The 21,504-nt window shown below is 58.6% G+C and overlaps 2 protein-coding genes across 13 annotated transcripts in view, besides 5 other annotated features; one reads left to right on the top strand and one right to left on the bottom strand.

The window, feature by feature from the left end:
- The window catches only part of UBE2O (ubiquitin conjugating enzyme E2 O), a 63,697-nt gene extending 51,507 nt beyond the window's left edge, over nt 1-12,190 (top strand). For 2 of the 8 annotated variants that reach the window (XM_017024935.2, XM_047436517.1), the window contains 13 exons: nt 492-635; nt 1,096-1,205; nt 1,349-1,424; nt 1,725-2,197; nt 2,655-2,809; nt 3,062-3,174; nt 3,263-3,391; nt 3,758-3,847; nt 4,825-5,518; nt 5,785-5,921; nt 9,533-9,736; nt 9,833-9,890; nt 10,033-12,190. In XM_017024935.2, coding sequence (XP_016880424.1) covers nt 492-635; nt 1,096-1,205; nt 1,349-1,424; nt 1,725-2,197; nt 2,655-2,809; nt 3,062-3,174; nt 3,263-3,391; nt 3,758-3,847; nt 4,825-5,518; nt 5,785-5,921; nt 9,533-9,736; nt 9,833-9,890; nt 10,033-10,703 — 3,054 coding nt within the window. In that variant the 3' untranslated portion in view covers nt 10,704-12,190. Of the gene's footprint in view, nt 1-491; nt 636-1,095; nt 1,206-1,348; nt 1,500-1,724; nt 2,198-2,654; nt 2,810-3,061; nt 3,175-3,262; nt 3,392-3,754; nt 3,848-4,824; nt 5,519-5,784; nt 5,922-9,532; nt 9,737-9,832; nt 9,891-10,032 lie in introns of all 8 variants that reach the window. The other 6 variants (XM_047436518.1, XM_024450867.2, NM_022066.4 and 3 more) reach the window with 3 other exon arrangements.
- Nucleotides 2,244-2,744: an enhancer, noted in NCBI's record as "H3K4me1 hESC enhancer chr17:74394983-74395483 (GRCh37/hg19 assembly coordinates)". NCBI's record gives its function as "activates a minimal SCP1, AML or CMV promoter by ChIP-STARR-seq in primed H9 embryonic stem cells {active_cell/tissue: H9 hESC(primed)}" and the evidence as "EXISTENCE:reporter gene assay evidence [ECO:0000049][PMID:30033119]".
- Nucleotides 10,736-10,910: a silencer, noted in NCBI's record as "fragment chr17:74386817-74386991 (GRCh37/hg19 assembly coordinates)". NCBI's record gives its function as "represses an EF-1alpha promoter that drives an FKBP-Casp9 reporter gene in an ReSE screen in K562 erythroleukemia cells {active_cell/tissue: K562}" and the evidence as "EXISTENCE:reporter gene assay evidence [ECO:0000049][PMID:32094911]".
- A 1,600-nt stretch (nt 12,191-13,790) lies between the features above and the next one.
- On the bottom strand, nt 13,791-18,442 carry SPHK1 (sphingosine kinase 1). 5 transcript variants are annotated; one of them, NM_001355139.2, is made up of 6 exons: nt 18,117-18,442; nt 15,992-16,195; nt 15,509-15,661; nt 15,331-15,425; nt 15,138-15,253; nt 13,791-14,840 (listed from the first exon to the last, which is right to left on the bottom strand). In NM_001355139.2, exons 2-6 carry the CDS (start codon nt 15,999-16,001, stop codon nt 14,060-14,062), a joined length of 1,155 nt encoding a protein of 384 aa, NP_001342068.1. In that variant the 5' UTR covers nt 16,002-16,195; nt 18,117-18,442; the 3' UTR covers nt 13,791-14,059. The 5 variants fall into 5 exon arrangements, with proteins under 5 accessions (NP_001342068.1, NP_892010.2, NP_068807.2 ...); NM_182965.3 differs by lacking the exon at nt 18,117-18,442 and adding an exon at nt 16,477-17,037; NM_021972.4 differs by lacking the exon at nt 18,117-18,442 and adding an exon at nt 16,840-17,037 and having other exon boundaries at nt 15,509-15,703.
- Nucleotides 16,670-17,369: a silencer, noted in NCBI's record as "silent region_9015". NCBI's record gives its function as "represses an Ori minimal core promoter by ATAC-STARR-seq in GM12878 lymphoblastoid cells {active_cell/tissue: GM12878}" and the evidence as "EXISTENCE:reporter gene assay evidence [ECO:0000049][PMID:35858748]".
- Nucleotides 17,950-18,089: a silencer, noted in NCBI's record as "silent region_9014". NCBI's record gives its function as "represses an Ori minimal core promoter by ATAC-STARR-seq in GM12878 lymphoblastoid cells {active_cell/tissue: GM12878}" and the evidence as "EXISTENCE:reporter gene assay evidence [ECO:0000049][PMID:35858748]".
- Nucleotides 18,110-18,399: a silencer, noted in NCBI's record as "silent region_9013". NCBI's record gives its function as "represses an Ori minimal core promoter by ATAC-STARR-seq in GM12878 lymphoblastoid cells {active_cell/tissue: GM12878}" and the evidence as "EXISTENCE:reporter gene assay evidence [ECO:0000049][PMID:35858748]".

The following is a 21,504-nucleotide window of genomic DNA, read 5'->3' as shown; positions in this document are numbered from 1 at the left end:
CAGCCTCCCAAAGTGCTGGGATTACAGGCGTGAGCCACCGCGCCCGGCAGTATTAGAACTTTTATTTGCATTTTTGGTAGCTTTTTTTTCTCATCCTTTAAGGTTCCACTTTGTCTCTCTCAGTACAGGATGATGTGTTAGTTACAATAGTACATGGACACACACAGCAAACAAGTAGATATACAGGGGGTGCGTGAGCAAACAGGTTTCAGGACCACTGCTCTCTGGAGTCTTATTCCTCAGAGTATGAGCCCTTGACCAAGGAGCATGGAATGCATCACCTATGTTTGAACAAGGGCGCCAGATGACCTCTGCGGACCCAGGGTTTGGGAAGTGCTGATGTGGAGCCACAGGACTTGTTTTAGGGCGTGTGGGGCGTGTGTGTGAGTGGGCTTCTGCAGGTGGGCAGCCAGCGGGCACAGGCGTGGAGAGCATGGTCACCCATGGAGACACCGCTCACGGGGACTTTCCTTTGGCCCCACATCCCGCAGGGTCTCTTCTTCGATGATTCCTATGGCTTCTACCCAGGCCAGGTGCTCATTGGCCCTGCCAAGATCTTCTCCAGCGTCCAGTGGCTGTCAGGTGTCAAGCCCGTGCTCAGCACCAAGAGCAAGTTCCGAGTGGTGGTGGAAGAGGTGGGTCCGGGCCCAAGGGTAGGAGATGGAGTCCTTGACCTCCACACCCTGGAGCTGAGCTGCTGCCCCTTTCCTTCCTGCTCTTGAGGGTTGAGCCCCGCTCCTCAGCATCTGGACCCTGTTGATCTCAAAGGGCTTTGGGGATAAAGGGAACCCAGGCTCTGGTCATAGTGACCAAAAGACAGATGTGCCCCAGCCCAGCCTGTACAGGCTGAGCAAGGTGGGAGGGTGGCAAGTGGCAGTTCCAGTGGCCCCTGGCTGGTATGAGCAGTGACACTGGTCCTGGGCATTGGGTGGGGGCCGTGGTTACAGTTGGGGCCTGCTCTGATGTGTCTGTACTTGGTGCTGCACTAGGAAGATCAGTTTCCTGCTCTGGAGGTCAAGTGGGCTTTGGGCAGCTGGCTAAAGAGAGTGCTGTCAGAGCCTGCCCTGACTGGCGTGTCCCACCTGCCATCCCCAGGTGCAGGTTGTAGAGTTGAAAGTTACATGGATTACCAAGAGTTTCTGTCCAGGGGGCACGGACAGCGTCAGCCCCCCACCCTCTGTCATCACCCAGGAAAACCTAGGCAGGTAAGCATGCCCTTACTGCCAGCAACCCAGGGGCACGCGTGGGACAGGGCTCTGGGCCCTGGTCACATGCCTGGGGAGGCTTAAGAACACTGCTGGCCTCCCAGGAGTCCAGCCCAGCTCACCCCCACTTCTTCCCCAACCAGGGTGAAGCGTCTCGGATGCTTTGACCATGCTCAGCGGCAGCTTGGGGAGCGCTGTCTGTATGTCTTCCCAGCCAAGGTAGAGCCAGCCAAGATTGCCTGGGAATGTCCAGAAAAAAACTGCGCCCAGGGGGAGGGCTCTATGGCCAAGAAGGTATGTCCTTGGGGTTGGGGATTGGTGGGCATTTGAGGAACTGGCCTTGAGCCATTTCCATGGCCAAGAAGGACAGTCTGTGCTTTAGGCCTTGGGGGGCAGCCCTGATGACCCTTGCCGGCTACTCAGGTGTATACAGCTGTCATCCCCCCAGCCTGAGATGCCTAGGGCCAGGCCTGCCCAGGTGCACCTCACAGCCCTGTCCTCTCTGCTCCGCCCTTGCAGGTGAAGCGCCTGTTGAAGAAGCAGGTTGTGCGGATCATGTCATGCTCCCCAGACACCCAGTGTTCCCGGGACCATTCCATGGAAGACCCAGACAAGAAGGGGGAATCCAAAACCAAGAGCGAAGCGGAGTCTGCCAGCCCTGAGGAGACGCCCGATGGCTCTGCCAGTCCAGTGGAGATGCAGGACGAGGGTGCAGAGGAGCCCCACGAGGCAGGAGAGCAGCTGCCCCCATTCCTGCTAAAAGAAGGCAGAGATGACAGGCTGCACTCGGCAGAGCAGGACGCAGATGATGAGGCTGCTGATGACACGGACGACACCAGTTCGGTGACCTCCTCTGCCAGCTCCACCACTTCCTCCCAGAGCGGCAGCGGCACGAGTCGCAAAAAGAGCATCCCCTTGTCCATCAAGAACTTAAAGCGCAAACACAAGAGGAAGAAGAATAAAATCACTCGAGACTTCAAGCCAGGGGACAGGTAAACTCAGAGTTGTGCCCCTCCCCAATGGCGTCAGCGTGAAGCCAGGCAGAGTGCGCGTCCCCTCGGTGTGCGTGCCTGCGCTCGCACACACACCTCTGCATGCCTTGTAGTGGCTCCGGGGCTCCCACCCGAGACAACGTAGGTGCCTGGGGTAGGCCCTGGTGGAAAGCAGAGACTGAGGAGTGGTGCAGAGGGTGGGATGGTGGTGGCCTTAAGCTTGGCCTTCTGGAACCACATTTGCCTGAGCTCTCCCAAGTGGATCCTGTTCTCAGAGAATGCGTGGCCTTGGAACCCTGGGTGAGCTTCCTGTGCACCAGAGACTCATCCTGCCAACCTGGGATTCAGAGTTTCAGGTTACCAAGCCCACAGGGACAGGAAGGGACAGAAAGACTCTCTGCCCTTTCCGCGGAGGGGGTGGGGTTTGCATGGCCTGCTGACTGGCCTGCACCCGCAGGGTGGCAGTGGAGGTGGTGACCACGATGACCTCAGCCGACGTGATGTGGCAGGATGGCTCCGTGGAATGCAACATCCGCTCCAACGACCTCTTCCCTGTGCACCACCTGGACAACAACGAGTTCTGCCCTGGAGACTTCGTGGTAGATAAGCGAGGTAGTGCCAGCTCTGGAAGGGCAGCCAGCAGGGTGGTCGCCAATGAGGGCCCGGGTTGGGGCTTGTGGAGAATGGGCAGTGGATCTGGGGTCAGAGCTAAAATGAGGTCCAGAAGGGGACTGCCCTCATGAAGGGGTCTCACCACTTCCAAGACGGGGGAAGGTCAGGGTTCTGCACTCTGCACTGGCTTGAGATGTGGGCTCCTTAGCCGGGATCCCTTAGCTAGTCACTTCCCTTTCTCTGGTTCCCTAGTCCAGAGCTGTCCAGACCCTGCTGTCTACGGTGTGGTACAGTCTGGGGACCACATCGGCCGTACCTGCATGGTGAAGTGGTTCAAGCTGAGGCCGAGTGGGGACGACGTGGAGGTGTGTGCAGCCCCTACTGCTTGCTTCAGGTGGGCTCTGGGGTTGGGTGTAGGACCCCTAGCTCATGACAACCTGTCCTGTGCCACAGCTGATTGGAGAAGAGGAAGATGTGAGTGTTTACGACATTGCTGACCACCCTGACTTTAGGTTCCGTACAACTGACATCGTCATCCGCATCGGCAATACTGAGGATGGGGCTCCTCACAAGGAGGATGAGGTACGCCTTCAAATTCAAGTTCTGGATGGCTGCTCACTGCCCTGTGCACCAGCTGCAGTCCCTGATGCTGCCACCAGGTGGCTCTAGGAGACAAGACCTGAAAGTCCTCTGGGCTCAGTGTCCTCAGAAGGGCAGCTGCCCCAGAGTCAAGCTGCCGCTCAGCACTAGCAGCTGCAGAAGGACTTGTTTCCCTGCCTCCCTTCTGGGGTCAGGCTTCTTGAGCTGCCGCTGGTTACATTTACCAGAGGAGCTAAGTTCCTTGTCACAAGCCAGGTGGGCATGATGTCAGTCACTGCAGAGCACAGGAGGGGCTGGGGAGCTGGAGCTTGAGCTGGGCCCCCTGACTTTGTCCCCTTTGCCCAGCAGCCATCGGTGGGCCAGGTGGCCCGTGTGGACGTCAGCAGCAAGGTGGAGGTGGTGTGGGCTGACAACTCAAAGACCATCATCCTGCCCCAGGTGAGGCTCTGGCAAGACCCCCCTGCTGAGCTTGTGACTATGGCAACTTGGGCCGGGGGCCACAGGCGTGTAGCCAGAAGATGGGCTCTCAGGTCTTCCTGGTGAGATCTCAGCGAAAGCGTGAGGGGAAAGGCAGGCATTCCACACAGCCCTTGGTGCAGGCCTGCAGTTGGCCCACCAGCCTCGCTTCTCCCAGCAATCTCTTCACGTCCATCTCTGGGTGCATGTAGACTTTCACAAACCTCCAGGATTTTCCTGGATTGTCAGCTCACTATGCTACGAAGAATGCAAGTTCCCTCCTAAAAGGAGATGGAGACTTTCCTACCACCCTTTTTAGAAAGCTCTAACAGAGAAGGAGAGAAAGGAGAGAGCCGACCCAGTTCTAGCCCCACCTGCTGGGTCCTGAGCAGAAGGGCTACACGGGCTCTCCTTCCCTCGCCTCCTGGTTGGAGCCACACAGCCCAGCTCTCCTCTCCTGGTCCACACAGGGGGCAGGAGTGGGGGCGGGAATGGCTTGCCCCATCACCTTAACGGCCATTCCAGGGAACGCAGCAGGATATGTCGGCCCTTCTACATGTCCCCTCTTGTCATATGTTCCCAGCTCCCCACACAGGCCTCCTTGGCTGCATCATTAGCTGACCCTGCGCTTTTCAGGTGTGGGACTGGGCCTGCCAAGGTCCCCTAACGCCTTGGACAGATGCTGACGAAGTGCACAGAGCAGGAGGAGAGGCTGGAACAGACCACTGGCTGGGGCTTTGGGTCCAGCTGGAGGGTGGGACAGGTGAAGGGCCTCTCCCAGAGACCTAGGGACTGCAAAAGCCAGAGCAGAGGTCAGGGAAAGGGTGGAATGAGGTTGCCAAGGCCTCATGAGCCCAGTCGCCATCAGCTGTGCGGATCAGGGATCCCCAGAGCTCCTCCTTAGTGGTGGGGAGGTGACTTCCTGTCTGCTTACCCTGGCACTTCCCTTCTGCCCCCAGCACTTGTACAACATAGAGTCTGAGATTGAGGAGTCAGACTACGATTCGGTAGAAGGCAGCACCAGCGGGGCATCCTCGGATGAATGGGAAGATGATAGTGACAGCTGGGAGACGGACAATGGGCTGGTGGAGGACGAGCACCCCAAGATAGAGGAGCCCCCCATCCCACCCCTGGAGCAGCCGGTGGCCCCTGAGGACAAGGGAGTGGTGATCAGTGAAGAGGCAGCCACAGCTGCCGTCCAGGGGGCTGTGGCCATGGCTGCCCCCATGGCCGGGCTGATGGAGAAGGCTGGCAAGGACGGGCCACCCAAGAGCTTCCGGGAGTTGAAAGAGGCCATCAAGATCCTGGAGAGCCTCAAGAACATGACTGTGGAGCAGCTGCTGACGGGCTCGCCCACCTCTCCGACTGTGGAGCCTGAGAAGCCAACTCGGGAGAAGAAGTTTCTGGATGACATCAAGAAGCTACAGGAAAACCTCAAGAAGACCCTGGACAATGTGGCCATTGTAGAGGAGGAGAAGATGGAAGCAGTGCCCGACGTAGAGCGCAAGGAGGACAAGCCCGAGGGGCAGTCACCTGTGAAGGCTGAGTGGCCCAGCGAAACCCCGGTGCTGTGCCAGCAGTGTGGCGGCAAGCCTGGCGTCACCTTCACCAGCGCCAAGGGCGAGGTCTTCTCCGTACTGGAGTTTGCACCCTGTGAGTCAGCCCTTGCCTGGTCTTCGCCTTCCCCCGCCTTCTCGGGGCTCCTGTTTGTGTCACCAGATCTGGGTGCAGGGTGGTTAGTCCCCTCGCCAGACCCCAGCTACTGCCCCAGGGCAAACCATTTCCCTGTGTGGTCACAGTGCTGAGGCCAGCAGCGGCGAGTGGGAAGTCTGTGGGTGTGCTCACCTGTCCAGCCAGGTTGGCAGATGGAGCTCCAGGGCCTCTCCATGAGGGACTGACTATTCTCTTCCCCCCTCTAGCAAATCATTCTTTTAAGAAAATTGAGTTCCAGCCTCCAGAAGCCAAGAAGTTCTTCAGCACAGTGCGGAAGGAGATGGCGCTGCTGGCTACCTCACTGCCTGAGGGCATCATGGTCAAGACTTTTGAAGATAGAATGGCAAGTAGGCTTGGCATGGGCAGGTGCAGATGTGCTGTGTGGGCACCCAGTGCCCAAGAGGCCACCAACCTTGGGTCCCCAAACCTCCGGGGCTGACTGGCACCTGCGAGGACACTCACCCACCCACCTTTTACAGGGGCGGTCACAGGCTCAGTCAGGTGAGGGCTGACTCAGCCGTGTGTCCAGGCCAGATGGTTCTTTCTTTCCTCCCTCCTTTAAAAAATTACTTTCTCGGCCGGGCGCAGTGGCTCACACCCGTAATCCCAGCACTTTGGGAGGCCGAGGTGGGTGGATCACGAGGTCAGGAGATCGAGACCATCCTGGCTAACACAGTGAAACCCCGTCTCCACTAAAAAAAAAAAAAAAATTACAAAAAACTCTCCCGCCACCATGCGGGCGCCTGTAGTCCCAGCTACTCTGGAGGCTGAGGCAGGAGAATGGCGTGAACCTGGGAGGTGGAGCTTGCAGTGAGCCGAGATCACGCCACTGCACTCCAGCCTGGGTGACAGAGCGAGATTCTGTCTCAAAAAAAAAAATTACTTTGAAATAGGCCGGGTGCGGTGGCTCACGACTGTAATCCCAGCACTTCGGGAAGCCGAGGCAGGTGGATCACCTGAGGTCAGAAGTTTGAGACCAGCCTGACCAACCCGGTGAAACCCTGTCTCTACTAAAAATACAAAAATTAGCCGGATGTGGTGGCGGGTGCCAGTAATCCCAGCTACTCGGGAGACTGAGGCAGGAGAATCACTTGAACCTGGGAGGCAGAGGTTGTAGTGAGCCAAGATCGCACCATTGCACTCCAGCCTGGGCAACAGAGCGAGACTTCATCTCAAAAAAAAAAAAATTACTTTGAAATTAATTATATTATGATTACTCCTCAAGCCTACTTTTCTTTTTGAAAAATTAGAACATTACAGATCCTTTGAGTGGAAATGGAAGAGCTAAAGTTGCCTTTGACCAGACCTCACTTCCCTTTCTCCCCGAATCATAGGCCTCTTCCCACACCCAGAGGATTGTTGGAAGTTTAGTGGGTCTCCTTCCAAACGGATGACCTTTTTTTTATACTTTTACATTATTTATACACTAAAAAAATATTTTTACATTTTCATGTATCACCATAAGTACATAATATTTTGTATGATTTGTTTACACACAGAATATGTCGTCGTACACATCATCTCTAATTTGCTTAAGACCAACCTGTGTTGATTCATAATGATCTAGTTTCTTCCTTTTTACCTGCAAAATAGGATGACAGCATGTGGCCACACCACATTCCATTTTCCCACTCCTCTGTTCGTGGACGGGGCCTAGTGTCTCTGAGTCATGTTTACTGAGGCAGCGCTGAGTGCATCCTTCCGGAACAGGCAAGCCCGTTTGCCTGCCACCTTGTTGACTCCGCAGTCCCTTACTGGGCCTGTGCATCGAGCCAAGCACTATGCTAGACTCTGAATCTGAGTCTGAGGCCCCAGTTCTGGCCCTGTCCTGGAAGGAAGGGAGTAAGAAAAGAAAGAGCAGGGATCCTGAGAGCAGCCAAGCGATCCTGAGAGCAGCCAAGCGGGATGCTGTTGAGATGGGCCCGGAGTAGCCACAACCCTGGAACAGGGCTAGGCAGAGTCCTAAGGCCCAGTGCTGCTTGAGATTCTTAATAACGCTTTTGGTTTTTTCTTGGGTTGTAGGAAAATTCCTTTTGAAAATTCTAGCCTGTCTCAGCTCTGCTGAGGGAAGATGGAAACAGTATTTTTTGTTTTGTTCTGTTTTCCCCACATCTCACTCAGGAGAAGAAAAGTAGTGCATTCCCTGGAGGCTCCCAGGGTGGCACCGATAAGAGCATGTGCAGAGGTTCCCTCGCCCCAGCTAGCGCTCTGCCTTCCCTGCTTCTCAGCTCATCACTGACCTCGCCCATTGCCCTGTCAGTTGAGATCCCACACACACGCGTGTGTGCACAGATGCACGCAAATAGATGCACAGATTCCAGATGTCTGTGGAGCGGTGGTCTCCCAACCTCCCCCATGGAGTTCAAACCCTCACTGTCAGCTTCTGGTTGTGAGACCATCCCCCCTTCCCCAGGCCTCACCAGCCTGGAACTGCCTTTCAGCTTGAAACTGCTTGTACTACTTGCCTTGTTGGGGATAAGGGTTGGAGCAGGTGTTTAGAGGAATTGTTTTGTTTTGTTTTTAAAAGACAGGGTTGGCCGGGCGTGGTGGCTCACGCCTGTAATCCCAGCACTTTGGGAGGCCAAGGTGGGCGGATCACAAGGTCAGGAGTTCGAGACCAGCCTGACCAACATGGTGAAACCCCGTCTCTATTAAAATACAAAAAATTAGCCGGGCGTGAGGAGACTGAAGCAGAGAATCGCTTGAACCTGGGAGGCAGAGGTTGCAGTGAGCCAAGATCACACCACTGCACTCCAGCCTGGGGACAGAGCTATACTCCATCTCAAAAAAACACATAAGCCAAAAAATAAAAGACAGGGTCTCACTCTGTCGCCCAGGCTGGAGTGCAGTGGTGTGATCATAGCTCACTGCAGCCTCAGCCTCCTGGAGTCAAGTGATCCTCCCATCTAAGCTTTTTGAGTAGCTGGGACTGTAGGTATGCACCACCATGCCCAGCTAATTTTTTATTTTTTGTAGAGATAGGGTCCCACTATGTTGCCCAGGTTGGTTTTGACCTCCTGGCCTCAAGCAGTCCTCCCACCTTGGCCTCCCAAAAGTGCTGGGATTACAGGTGTGAGCCATCACGTCTGGCTGAGGAATACAATCTTTTTTTTTTTTTGAGATAGCGTCGCACTGTCACCCAGGCTAGAGTTCAATGGCACAATCTCGGCTCACTGCAACCTCCGCCTCCGGGTTGAAGCAATTCTCCCACCTCAGCCTCCCGAGTAGCTGGGACTGCAGGCATGCATCACCACGCCTGGCTAATTTTTGTATTTTTAGTAGAGACGGGGTTTCACCACGTTGGCCAGACTGCTCTTGAACTCCTGACCTTAAGTGATCCACCCGTCTCGGCCTCCCAAAGTGCTGGGATTACAGGCACGAACCACCGCGCCCAGCTGGAATACAGTCTTAAAGTAATGATTTATGAGGAAAAACACCTGATAAGATAAAAACTCACTTCGAGTATTTCTCTTAGCCAGGGTTCAATGATTCCAGGCAAGGGCCAGGCACAGTGACGGCTCAGGGCTGTAAACCCAGCACTTTGGGAGGCCGAGGCAGGCGGATCACTTGAGCCCAGGAGTTCGAGACCAACCTAGGCAACATAGTGAAACCCTGTCTGTACACAAAATAAAAAAATCATCTGGGCACGGTGGCCCACACTGTAGTCCCGGCTACTTGGGAGGCTGCAGTGAGCCATTATTGCACTAGTGTACTCCAGCCTGGGGGACACAGCAAGACCCTGTCTCAAAAAAAAAAGATTCCAGGCTGTTCTGCAGAGAGAGATTTGTCCTTAGCTTCTCCACTGCTGGTGGCATCTGGAGTCCCAGGTGCTGCTCTTCCTGCGTGATCTGCACAGTGTCCTGGGAAAGAGCAGGTGCAGATGCAGATGCCACATGTAGGACACCCCCTTCCACCCCTGCCAACCTTGGCCTCCCTCCCTCCCTCCCTACCTAGGACCTCTTCTCAGCTCTCATCAAGGGCCCCACTCGAACCCCCTACGAGGATGGCCTCTACTTGTTTGACATCCAGCTCCCCAACATCTACCCAGCCGTGCCCCCCCACTTCTGCTACCTCTCCCAATGCAGTGGCCGCCTGAACCCCAACCTGTATGACAATGGGAAGGTGTGTGTCAGCCTCCTGGGCACCTGGATTGGAAAGGTGAGTATAGGGCCAGGCCCCCAGCCAAGAAGGAGGAAGAGCCACTGGTGGATAGGGGCCTGGGGAACAGAATTGATGGTGCCCTGTGTGTTTCAGGGGACAGAGAGGTGGACAAGCAAGTCCAGCCTTCTCCAGGTGCTCATCTCCATCCAAGGTACAGTTGGGCTGAAGCGGGGGTGCGGACAAGGGAGGGCCGGTGGAGGAAAGTGACTCTGATAGTCCCCCTGGCAGGTGGAGGGTAGGCCTGCATTGTGGGCCTCTCTCACCCACTGAGGGAAGGTGTCCCGCCCACACAGGTCTGATCCTGGTAAATGAACCATACTACAACGAAGCCGGCTTCGACAGTGACCGAGGCCTGCAGGAAGGCTATGAAAACAGTCGCTGTTACAATGAGATGGCGCTGATCCGCGTGGTGCAGTCCATGACCCAGCTGGTGCGGCGGCCCCCCGAGGTCTTTGAGCAGGAGATCAGGCAACACTTTAGCACTGGTGGCTGGCGGCTGGTGAACCGTATCGAGTCCTGGCTGGAAACCCATGCCCTGCTGGAGAAGGCCCAGGCACTGCCCAACGGGGTGCCCAAGGCCAGCAGCTCGCCAGAGCCCCCAGCTGTAGCCGAGCTGTCAGACTCCGGCCAACAAGAACCTGAGGATGGAGGGCCAGCCCCAGGAGAGGCCTCCCAGGGCTCAGACTCAGAGGGCGGTGCCCAGGGCCTGGCCTCAGCTAGCAGGGACCACACAGACCAGACTTCGGAGACCGCACCAGACGCATCGGTGCCACCCAGTGTGAAACCAAAGAAGCGGAGAAAGAGCTACCGGAGCTTCTTACCTGAGAAGAGTGGCTACCCTGACATCGGCTTCCCCCTCTTCCCACTTTCCAAGGGTTTCATCAAGAGCATCCGGGGTGTCCTGACGCAGTTCCGGGCTGCCCTGCTAGAGGCAGGCATGCCGGAGTGCACAGAGGACAAGTAGCTGCCAGGCACAGAGGAAAGAGCATCACCGTGGGAGAGGCCAGCCGCCGCCTGCTCACTCCCCCCCGGAATCACCCCTCTTCCCATGCCCCTCTGTCCCCACTGCAAACCCACTGCCCTCTTCTCCCCAAGGTGAGTTTGATGCTGAAGTGCAAGAAGTGTGTTGAGATGCTGCCGTTTCTATTTTGAAGCGAGCTTTCAACAGGCGGGTCCCCTGTGGCAAAGAAAATCGGAACCCTGTTGCCGATTTTCCATTTGTCACCCCAGCAGAATGTCCGGCACTTGCTCCCTTGCTGCCCCTTCTCAGGTCAGAGGCGGGTGTTCCAGGGCCTGCCGCGGGGCTCTCTGGGCCGGTTCCCTGCAGACCCGCAGGAGAGCACATGTGCCTTGCATGAAGTGTGGGTTGCGCCAACAATTCCCCTGGTCCCTTTCAACCTGTTTAGTTCAACTCAAGCCTCCCTGTGTCCCAGACCCTCCTGCTGCCACCACCACCCAGGTCCTCCCTAGTCCTCCAGCGTCAACACTATCCCTTGGGAGTTGTAGCTGCTGTCACTGACTCCCGGCTATACATGGCCTGTCGACCACGTTATAGCCCTCAGGCCTGTTGAACTTGCTCTCTAAGAGAGGTTGGGACCAGGCTAGGTTCCGGGTGACGCCCAGGAGAGGTGGTGGCCTTCACACATGCACATGGAGTTGAGGACCAGGGAGCTGCAGGGAAAGCAACAGCTATAGGTGCCTTGCTCTTCTGTCGGAGGCTGCTGGGGGCAAGAGCAGCTGCACAAGGCCAGGGCAAGTGCTAGGGCCCCTCCCCCATCACATGGTCACACTGGGACAGGCGTGCAGCTCACTGAACTCCAAGCGAGCCAGCCCTCTCTTGGACTAGAAGGCCTACTGTCAGCCCTTCGCTTACAAACTGCAGGCTCAATCCGAAGGGGACGGCCGGCGGGGGCTCTCCTAGTGCCCAGAGACAGGCCCAGAGGTTTACAAGTTTTCTAAGCTTTTGATAATGTGAAGCTCCAGGCCGAGAGGATGCTGTTGAGCACATTGCAGCTATGTAATTTTTGGTGTATGTATGTAATATTTAAGGTTGGAAAAAAAACTCAAAAGCAAAGATATTAACTCTTATTAGAAAAAAAGACAAAAAAAAAGCCAAAGCATGATGCGTCTTGTCAGCCTTAAGTGGGCTCCACACCTGTGCTGTGCTGTGACCGCCCAGCCAGCAGAGCTGCGGGAGGATGGAGCCGGACCACACACCGTGGCATTTGGAACCGAGTCGGTATCTTGTTTGAGAAACACCCGGAGTGACTGGTGGGGCTGTGCTTCCCAGTGCATTGTACATGTGGAGATGTGAATGCCTACTGCTTACGATATCTGTATAAAGTGCTGTGTGATTAAACTTTTTTTTACTTGCATTTTTTTTTTTTTTTTTTTTTGTGTTGGCTCATTAGCAAGACAAGGTGACACCATTAAACCTCCCTCTGCCATTCATCTGGGCTCCGTTGCCTTTGTGTCCCTCACACACACCCTTCCTGGGGAAGGAAAGACCTTGTTTGTTGCCAGGGAAGGCATGTGGCAGTGGGTCCTGGCTTTCCTGGCCAGGTGGGGGCCACTGTGAACAGCACCCCCACCCGCCCACACTGCCCTCTGCCTGCCAGACCTGCTTGCATGCCTTTTGTACTTCTTGTCCTGGAGCAGTCCTCTGGCCTCCTCCTGGCCGGTGGTGTGCCCCTCAGGAGCCAGCTTAGAGCAGCCTCCCAGCAGCTGTAGTCTCCAGAGACCTACAACTGACCAGTTCAGCTCCTTCCAGGTTCTGGGAGAGCCGACGTCATAGCACCTGGCGGTGGACAGGTGCCACAACTCCTGGACGCTAAGCCAAAATGGTTGCCCAGTTTAGACTTGGATGGATCCTTCCCTGCCACATTCTTTCCACTCCTGCCTGGCACTCCTCCACAGGGACAGGTAGGGAAAGGAGACAGCTGAGGGAGGCTGGGAGAACCCTAGAACCCTAGACCATTGTGGTGGATGACAGACTCCTTTTAAAAAGGTAAGATACCAGGTGTGGTGGCTCATGACTGTAATCCCAGCACTTTGGGAGGCAGAGGCGGGCAGATGACTTGAGGTCAGGGGTTTGGGATCAGCCTGGCCAACATGGTGAAACCCCATCTCTACTAAAACTACAAAAATTAGCTGGGCATGGTGGCATGCACCTGTAATCCCAGCTACTCAGGAGGCTGAGCACAAGAATCACTTGAACCCGGGAGGTAGAGGTTGCAGTGAGCCAAAAAAAAAAAAAAAAAAAAAAAGCAAGATATTGCCATTTTTTACTTCTGAGGTCTCCTGCTCCTTGCCAATTTTTTTGGGGGGGGGCGGGGGCGGTGGCCAGTGGTTTTATTGTTTTTGTTTTTGAGACATTCTCACTCTGTCTCACCCAGCCAGGCTGGGGTGCAATGGCGCGATCTCGGCTCACTGCAGCCTCAACCTCCCGGGCTCAAGCGATTCTCCTGCCTCAGCCTCCCAAGTAGCTGGGACTACAGGTGTCCGCCACCACACCCTGCTAATGTTTGCACATTTTGTAGAGATGAGATTTTACCATGTTGCCCAGGCTGGTCTCAAACTTCTGGGCTCAAGTGATCCACCCACCTCAGCCTCCCAAAGTGCTGGGATTACAGGTGTGAGCCACCACGCCTGGCCCATCAGTTTTCTAATGCCCTTAACTCAGATATTTCCCCTTTCCTGCTAAATCCACATGGGGCTCTGATGAGATTTGCTGGGACTAGCTGCTTGTGTGGCCCTGGCTGAGACATGCCAGCTCCGAGCTGCATCCTGTGTGTGGTCAGGCAGCTGGCTGAGCTCTGAGGCTGCTTCAGGTTGGAGGTGCTATAATTATCAGGGTGGTAGAGGCCCCCCCACCATTAGGCTGAACCAGCTCTGGTCCTGAGTCCCCCACCAGAATGACTATGCCTGGGGCCAGTAAAATCCATTGCCCATCCCAGGGGGCACCATTGGCCATCATTACCATTAAATTCTATAGTCCCGGCCAGAACGAGAACCCATTCTCTCCCCAGTCACCAGGACAGGACGAGCAGGCTGGGAATGTCACTTTATTTGGATTTGGTTCGTGGGGTGGGGGTCTCAGAACAAACTAGAAGGCCTTACATAGGCAGCTGGGCCCAGCCAGCTGGGCTCCTGACCCAGGACTTCATTCTGGCCTGTCCCCCCAAAGCATAGCCTCCACCTTCTCACCCTTCTCCAGAGGAGTCTCCTCCACCCCCACAGGAGCTGTGGACAGGCCCTGCAGCCCTAGGGAAGGAGGAAGGGTCCTGCAAGTAGACACTAAGGCACAGCGCGGCCCAGGGGTCATAAGGGCTCTTCTGGCGGTGGCATCTGCTGGGGCTTCCAGCTGGGCGGGGGCTCCACGCAACCGCTGACCATCCAGAAGTAGTTTGGGTGCACCTGGCCCTGCACGGCCTCGCTAACCATCAATTCCCCATCCACTGCAAACACACCTTTCCCATCCTTGGGCTCCAAGCGGAAGGCGACCACGGGCACATATACCAAGTAGGGGCATTCATACTCCATATGCCTGCCCTTCTCCATGGCCAGGAAGAGGCGCAGCAGCATGGCACGAGACACTCCCGCCCGCACGTAGAACAGATGCATGACGCCAGCTGCACAGCGGCCCATGGGTGCAGCAAACATCTCACTGCCCAGGTGCGAGTGCAGCAGTGCCAGGACTAGCACAAAGTCCTCGTCGGGCACCACTGTCCAGTGAGAGGGCACTGGCTCCTCCAGTGGCACAAGGTGTGCATCTACCGGGCCCTGCTGGACCACAACGGGGGAGGCAGGTGTCTTGGAACCCACTCTTCCTACAGGGAGGTAGGCCAGTCGGCCGCGGTAGGTGCGCAGGGCTGCCAGACGCAGGAAGGTGCCCAGAGTGAAGCGCATCTCCCCCAGACGCCGATACTTCTCACTCTCTAGGTCCACATCAGCAATGAAGCCCCAGGCCAGGCTGAGCACAGAGAAGAGGCGCAGCCCCGAAGCCGTGTGCAGAGACAGCAGGTTCATGGGTGACAGCAGCCGGCGGCACAGCAATAGCGTGCAGTTGGTCAGGAGGTCTTCATTGGTGACCTGCTCATAGCTGCAGGGGGAAAAAGTCAGATAAGGCAGGACAGGAGCCCCCATGTATCCCCCGCTTCCTCCTCCCGGGGAGTGGGAGCTGGCAAAGCGCCATGTGGTCCCTGGGGAGTTGGCAGGACTGGTAGGTGACAGATGGAGCAAATGGAAGCAGTCAGCTGGGGTCACCAGGAGAGGGCCCCAGGACTAAGGGAGAAGGGGAAATGGAAATGATCTCAGCCTATGGGAGCTTAGACAAGAAAACCCCCGCGGTAGAGGAGCACTGACGGGAAACAGGCCTACTCTGGCCCTGGGCTCTCACCCAGCATAATGGTTCAAGGAAGCTGCCAGCGCGTTGCCAGAGCCTGCTGGGAGGCTACACAGGGGCTTCTGGATGGCGGTCTCCCAGTCAGGCCGCTCCATGAGCCCGTTCACCACCTGTTGAAGCACACGTGGCCTCAGCCTGGGACGCACCGCGCCAAGCCCCAGGCCTAGCCGCGCAGTGCGGTCCTCACCTCGTGCATCAGCCCGTCTCCAGACATGACCACCAGAGCGTCCCAGCGGCCCAGCTCCTCCGACCGCACCAGCTCCCGCGCGTGGTTCCGCCGCTCTGCAGGGAGACCGGCAGCTATCAGGACTGGGGGGGTCCCCTGCCAGGGGATGCTCCCGAAACCCCCTCCGAGAGGTACTCACCAGTGAGCATCAGCGTGAAGGAGATTTCAGCCTCAGCCAAAAGGGGCTGCACGTGACTCCGGAAGAGCTGCAAGGCCTTGCCCTTGCCGCCGCGCGGGTTCAGCAGCACCAGCACGCGGCAGGGCCGCGGGAGCACGCCCCGGGGGCCGCCCGCTGAGAAAACAAAACCAAAGAGGCCACGTCCGCAACCGACCACTAGGGGGCCACGGGTAACAATGGGGCACTAGTGTGGGAACTTGGTGCCCGAAACACCCCGGTAATTGACCCTGGCCAGAGGAGCGGCCTTTGCTGGGAGACCTGGGGTGGGGACGCGGCGCCCCTGCCACCCCCTTCCTTGGCTCAGATTCGGCCGGCTTCTGGCCTCGTGAGGGATAATGTTTCTCCCGATCGTCCACAGCCCCTTTCGTCCAGCTGGGCGTTCCATCATTCCTGGCGAGGAACAGGAATCCCCCTACAGCCCTTCCCAGCAGGAACCCCACAAACCTGGATCCATAACCTCGACCCGCGGCTCCCGCTGCCAGGGGGTCCCTGGCGCTGTGGGGGCGCTGCCCGTGGCGGCGGCTCCTGCCTTCAGCTCCTTATCGGTGCTGCCCAGGCGGGCGTCGCAGGGCCGGCTGTGGGGCTCGCCTTCCCCGCCCGGAGCCGTGGCTGCAGGAGCACCGGCGTCATTCCCTGCGGCGGCTGGACCTGAGGGAGAGAAGACAGCGCTGGCGGAGTCCGGGGCCGCAGCTGCCAGAGGTGGGGAGCGCCCGACTAAATCCCGGGACCACGCGCGGGGAGCCAGGTTCCCGGGAAGTCCAGAGAGCTGAGGTCCGGTGCCTCCGAGGGCGCCCCCGCCGTGTGACTAAGCCTACAATCCCTGAGAAGGGCGCCTGCTCCGGGGCTTTCTCCCTGGGGCTTGGGGTTCGGTTCCGGCCCGACGGATGAGTCAGAGCCCCGTGGCTCCCTCCGACGGACTAGCTCCTCACCCCTCGGGGCTGCCAGGGGGAGGGGAGTCCAGCTGCGTAAAAATCCCAGAACTTGAGCGGACATTGCTGGGCACGAAGTTCTGGGAGAGGATCCCTGCCCCAGCCATCCAGGTTGCCGTGTCCCCTGCCCGGAGCTCCAGAGCGGTGGGAGCCGCGGCGCGCGCTTCTCAGGGCCCCGCTCCGTTGCGACGCGCGCGGCGCTCGTGGGAGCCGCTCCCGGGTCGCGCCAAAGCCAAGCCCGAACCGGGCCACCAGCTGCCGCCTGCTCTCGCCCAAGCGACAAGTGGCCCAGTTCCCGGGGCCCCGCGAGGGCGGGCCGCACAGGAGCCACGAGCGGCGCGAAGGCAGGGTGGGCGGCCCTACCCAGTCGGTCCGGTTTGCTGGGGAGGCGCCACCGCCGTTCCCTACAGTGGCCTGGGGCGGAACGCAGCTCGTCCCAAGCTCAGCCCACGTCTGAGGGACTGGAGCGCCCCGCTGGAGCGGACTCCCCGGCCTCGCTCCCTCCGGCCTCAAACTTTTCGCTCAACTTCGCAGCCGGCGCCGCGGAGCGGGGAGGGCACTGAGCCTCGGCGCCGGCCTGGCTCCGCCCCGCGCTCCCGGGGGTGGAACCTGAGCCCGGCGCGGCCTCGGCCTCTGCCCGCCTCCGGCCTCAGCGCGCCGCCTCCGGCACGGCCCGCGCCCACGGCCGGGCCACGAGCTGGTTCCCGCCCGGGTCCTAGGAAGCGGCAAGCGCGCCCCCGCCGCTCGTCCTAGGCGTCTGGCTAGAAGGCGGCGCCGCGACCTGGCCGGGTGAGCTGAGGCGGCAGGCCGCGAGGCGCGGAGTCCCGGGCCCGGCCGCGAGCGCAGTGTCTGGGGCGCGCGAAAGCGACCGCGCAGCGCAGACGGAGGCGCGGGCTCCGCGCGAACTCGTGTCGGAGCGAGCGCCGGGCGCGCGCGGCTCCGCTCTCCCGGGGGACCCTTGGTTTCACCTCGACGCCACGACCTCGCCCCCGCGGGTGCTGTCGGCGCCGGGATGCAGCGCCCCTTTTGCGCGCTCTGCCCTAGCCCACCCGAAATTCGAGGCCCGCACGCCACCCGGGGCGCCTCTCCAGGCCGGGGCGTCTCGCCCGCCGCCCACCAGCTTCCCTCTTTCTTCCTCCCCCGCGCTCCCACGGAGGTTATTTTTAACTTCCCGACGCTGCAGCTGGGCTACCGAGCCTGAGGCCGCCTAGCGCGCTGTCCCGGGTAGAGCAGGCGACAGGCCGGGGGCTCCGAGCCGGAGAGGAGGCTTGACAGTGTAGATGGGCCTGGGGGCCCCCGTCGGGATTGGAAAGCCAAGCATGTGGTACGTGCCCCCCGCCCCCTCTGGCTCAGCGTGAAGAAGGGGCGCCGGAAACGCGCTCAGAAGTTGTCACTTCTTTGGAGGCCAGTAGGGACGCGTTTGTCAGTGTGTTTGTGATACACTTATCGCGGCAAGCCACAGAACGTGTCCGCGAGCACCTCGAGTTAGATCCCTGGGGGGTTACGGCGGAGACGGAGGAAGAAGTTGCCAAGGCCCATTGGTGACCTGCCCAGGTAGGGCCAGAGTTAGGAGAAACCAAGCCCCTGCGGGAGGCTGCGGGGCTCGCGCGCCCCCGCCGGCCCCACCCGCCCCCACACACCTCTCTCATCGCTTCTTAAAGTCGAGAAGAGGCAGGTCCAGGAGGAGCACGCAGCCAATTAGCCGGGCGGCGCCCTGAACTCCGGCACGCCTCCGCGGTGTCTTCTCTTCCGGAGGACCCAGGCAGCTCGGCCCCGTTTCCCAACACTTGGGGGGTCAGACGGGCGGGACCCGAGAGTCCCCGGGCGGGTCGGGGGGCACTGGCTGGGACGCGGGGTCCCTGGGGCCGCAGCTCCGCGCGCGTATCGGCGGGTGCGCCTTCGCCTTGCGCGGCCCCCGGGCAGTCCCCGCTGGGTCCAGAGCGTCCCGAGCGCGTTCCGGGAAGGTGACTCAGCGACGCGCTCAGGGGTCGAAAAACTCCGAGAAACAGGAACGAGGGGAGGGAGCAGGGGCGTCATCCCCGACTCCTGGCGTCGCGGCGCGTGTCGGAATGATGGGTCCTGCACCTCCGAGCCCCCCACCCCCTTGCTCCAGGAATCCGGCGCGGGCGGGGGAGAGAGCCCTGCAGCCGCAGTGCCGCGGTCATGCGCTGCGGGGACGCGAGCGGCGGCTGTGGGAGGAGGGGGCTCCGCGCGGGAGCCCAGGACCAGATCCGTCCGCCCCTCCCCTCTCCTCTGCCTTCTTCCCCTCCTCTTCCTCCAGCGAGGGACTTTGGTGCCTAGAAAACGCGAATCGGAGGCTGTGCTCCCCGAGATCTCAGCCTTCGAGGGTACTGGCTGCGGAGATTAGCTGGGGCAGCCTTCCCCGTCTGCTCCCCGCCCCGGAGAGCATTTCCACCAAATCTGAAAAGCTCTGTCATTAGCCATAGAGTCTGAAGAGGGGAAACTGAGGCACAGGGAAGCACTGTGAGTTCGTGGTGATAAAGCCCACCTGGTTCAGGGTCCCCCCTTTTTTTTTCCTCCTGGGGCCCCAGAAAGGTCGGATCCTGCGCCTCCAGGCCCACTACCACCAGCCTTGAGTCCGCGGAGCGGGCGGGGGCGGGGTTGACTGCAAACTGAGTTGGCAAGGGGAGGCGGGGCACGGGCTCTTTATCCAACGCCTCCGGGCCCCAGCTCCCCTCCTGGCTCTGGAAGGCCCCGCGGGAGGGAGGCGAAGGGCAAAGCCCTCTGGCCCCGGTTCCAGGCCGCACAATGGGTCCTCTGTCCTCCCTGGCGCCTAACCCCCTGCCCCCCTCACCTCCAAGGCCTTTGCCCCCCTCATTCTTGTCATTCACTTCCCCCAACCCAGGCTGCCTTTCTCCAGACCCCTTTCCCCTTCTCCCTTTCTAAAGAATTTGATCCTATCTCCAGAAACTCCCCCAGCTGCATCCCTGCTCAGAGAGGCAGGATTGGCCAAGAGCAAGATGGTTCCCCTTCCCACGGTTGCGGGTCGGGGGGCGGGCACTTGGATCTCTCAAGCTGCCAGCTTGGCCCGTTTCCCACTGTACTTTACTTCCTTTTTTAAAAAAGAAAAAAGGACAAGGCGGGAAGGAGTTGGGGGGGCCTGAAACCCTGAGAGGTGAAGAGGCTTGCACAAGCCTCCAACCAGTTCCCCACAAAGCAGAGAAGCAAACCTGTGAACCCAGACCCCACGCTGAGAAGCCAAGTCCAGCCAGAGCTCCCCTCTGGGCCTCTCTGTATCCCAGGCTATTTCTCCCTGAAGGGCAGGTATCTGGGGATCTGGTGCCTGGTGGATTGCTTGCCGCAGAGCTGTGGCGTCTCCCTGAGGAGGAGGAAGCAGCAGGCCGGGCGCAGTGGCTCACTCCTGTAATCCTAGCACTTTGGGAGGCCGACGTGGGTGGATCACCTGAGATCGGGGGTTGGAGACCAGCCTGACCAACGTGGAGAAACCCGTCTCAAACCCCGTCTCTACACCGGGTGTGGTGGCGCATACCTGTAGTCCCAGCTACTTGGGAGGCTGAGGCAGGAGAATTGCTTGCACCCAGGAGGCAGAGGTTGTGGTGAGCTGAGATCGTCCCATTGCACTCCAGCCTGGGTGACAGGGCGAAACTCCATCTCAAAAAAAAAAAGAAAGAGGAAGCAGCTCCAAGCCCTCCCCAGGCTTCATCCTGAGTCTGGAAACAGCTGAGCAGCCGCTGTGCTCAGCAAGGCCCACCGTGGGCCTGGGAACAGGCCTGGGCCGGCAGAGAGGTCTGATTTGATCACCAACCCAGAGCTTGGCTTGCAGGTAATCTGCTTCACAGGTGGGAGACTTTTTCTAACTTCCCCAGCCTCCCCTTCCTTGTGGGCAGCCTCCCCAGGGAGACACACCTGAGAACCCCCTTTTTTCTTTTCCCGAGAAAGAAAGCAGGCATTCACCTGGCCTGGTCCCAGCTCTCCAGAAACTTGGAGTCAAGGCTGCCAGATGGCAAATTACTTGCTTTTATGAGGAGAGGATTCCTGCCATCTCACCCTTCCCTGAAGCTACCTTCCCTAGGAGATTTCAGCTCCCTAATTGCATAGCCTCAAGGTCTTCCTTGACCTCAACTTCTTTCCCTTTTTTTTTTTTTGAGACAGAGTCTCGCTCTGTTGCCCAGGCTGAGGCTGGAGTGCAGTGGCGCGATCTTGGCTCACTGCAACCTCTGCCTCCCGGTTTCAAGCAATACTCTTGCCTCAGCCTCCCGAATAGCTGTGATTACAAGTGTGAGCCACTGCACCTAGCTAATTTTTGTATTTTTAGTAGAGTTTGTGTTTCACATGTTGGCCAAGCTGGTCTCAAACTCCTGACCTCAAGTGATCCGCCTGCCTCGGCCTCCCAAAGTGCTGGGGTTATAGGCATGAGCCACCACTCCGGTTTTTCCCTTTTTATGGTACTTTACTGCCTAGGGGGTTGCAAGGACCGGGGAAGGGGGAGGTTCTATCTCACAAGCTCTTTGAGCTTAGGGGCCGGGCACGGTGGCTCACATCTGTAATCCCAGCACTTTGGGAGGCCAAGGCGGGTGATCATGAGGTCAGGAGATTTGAGACCATCCTGGCCAACATGGTGAAACCCCCGTCTCTACTGAAAATACAAAAATTAGCTGGGTGTTGTGGTGCATGCCTGTAATCCTAGCTACTTGGGAGGCTGAGGCAGGAGAATCGCTTGGACCCGGGAGGCGAAGGTTGCAGTGAGCTGAGATGGTGCCACTGCACTCCTGCCTGGGGACAGAGCAAGACTATGTCTCAAAAAAAAAAAAAAAAGCTTAGGGCTGGTTGGGCGCAGTGGCTCACGCCCGTAATCCCAGCACTTTGGGAGGCTGAGGCGGGTGGATCACGAGGTCAGGAATTTGAGACCAGCCTGGCCAAGATGATGAAACCCCATCTCTACTAAAAATACAAAAATTCGTCGGACGCGGTGGCAGGTGCCTGTAGTCCCAGCTGCTCAGGAGGCTGAGACAGGAGAACTGCTTGAACCCAAGAGCGAGCCGAGAT

This window comes from Homo sapiens, chromosome 17, assembly GCF_000001405.40.
Source record: "Homo sapiens chromosome 17, GRCh38.p14 Primary Assembly".
Taxonomy (NCBI): Eukaryota; Metazoa; Chordata; class Mammalia; order Primates; family Hominidae; genus Homo; species Homo sapiens.
Note: the sequence above shows the minus strand (reverse complement) of the source record. Positions and strands in the feature narration are given on the sequence as shown.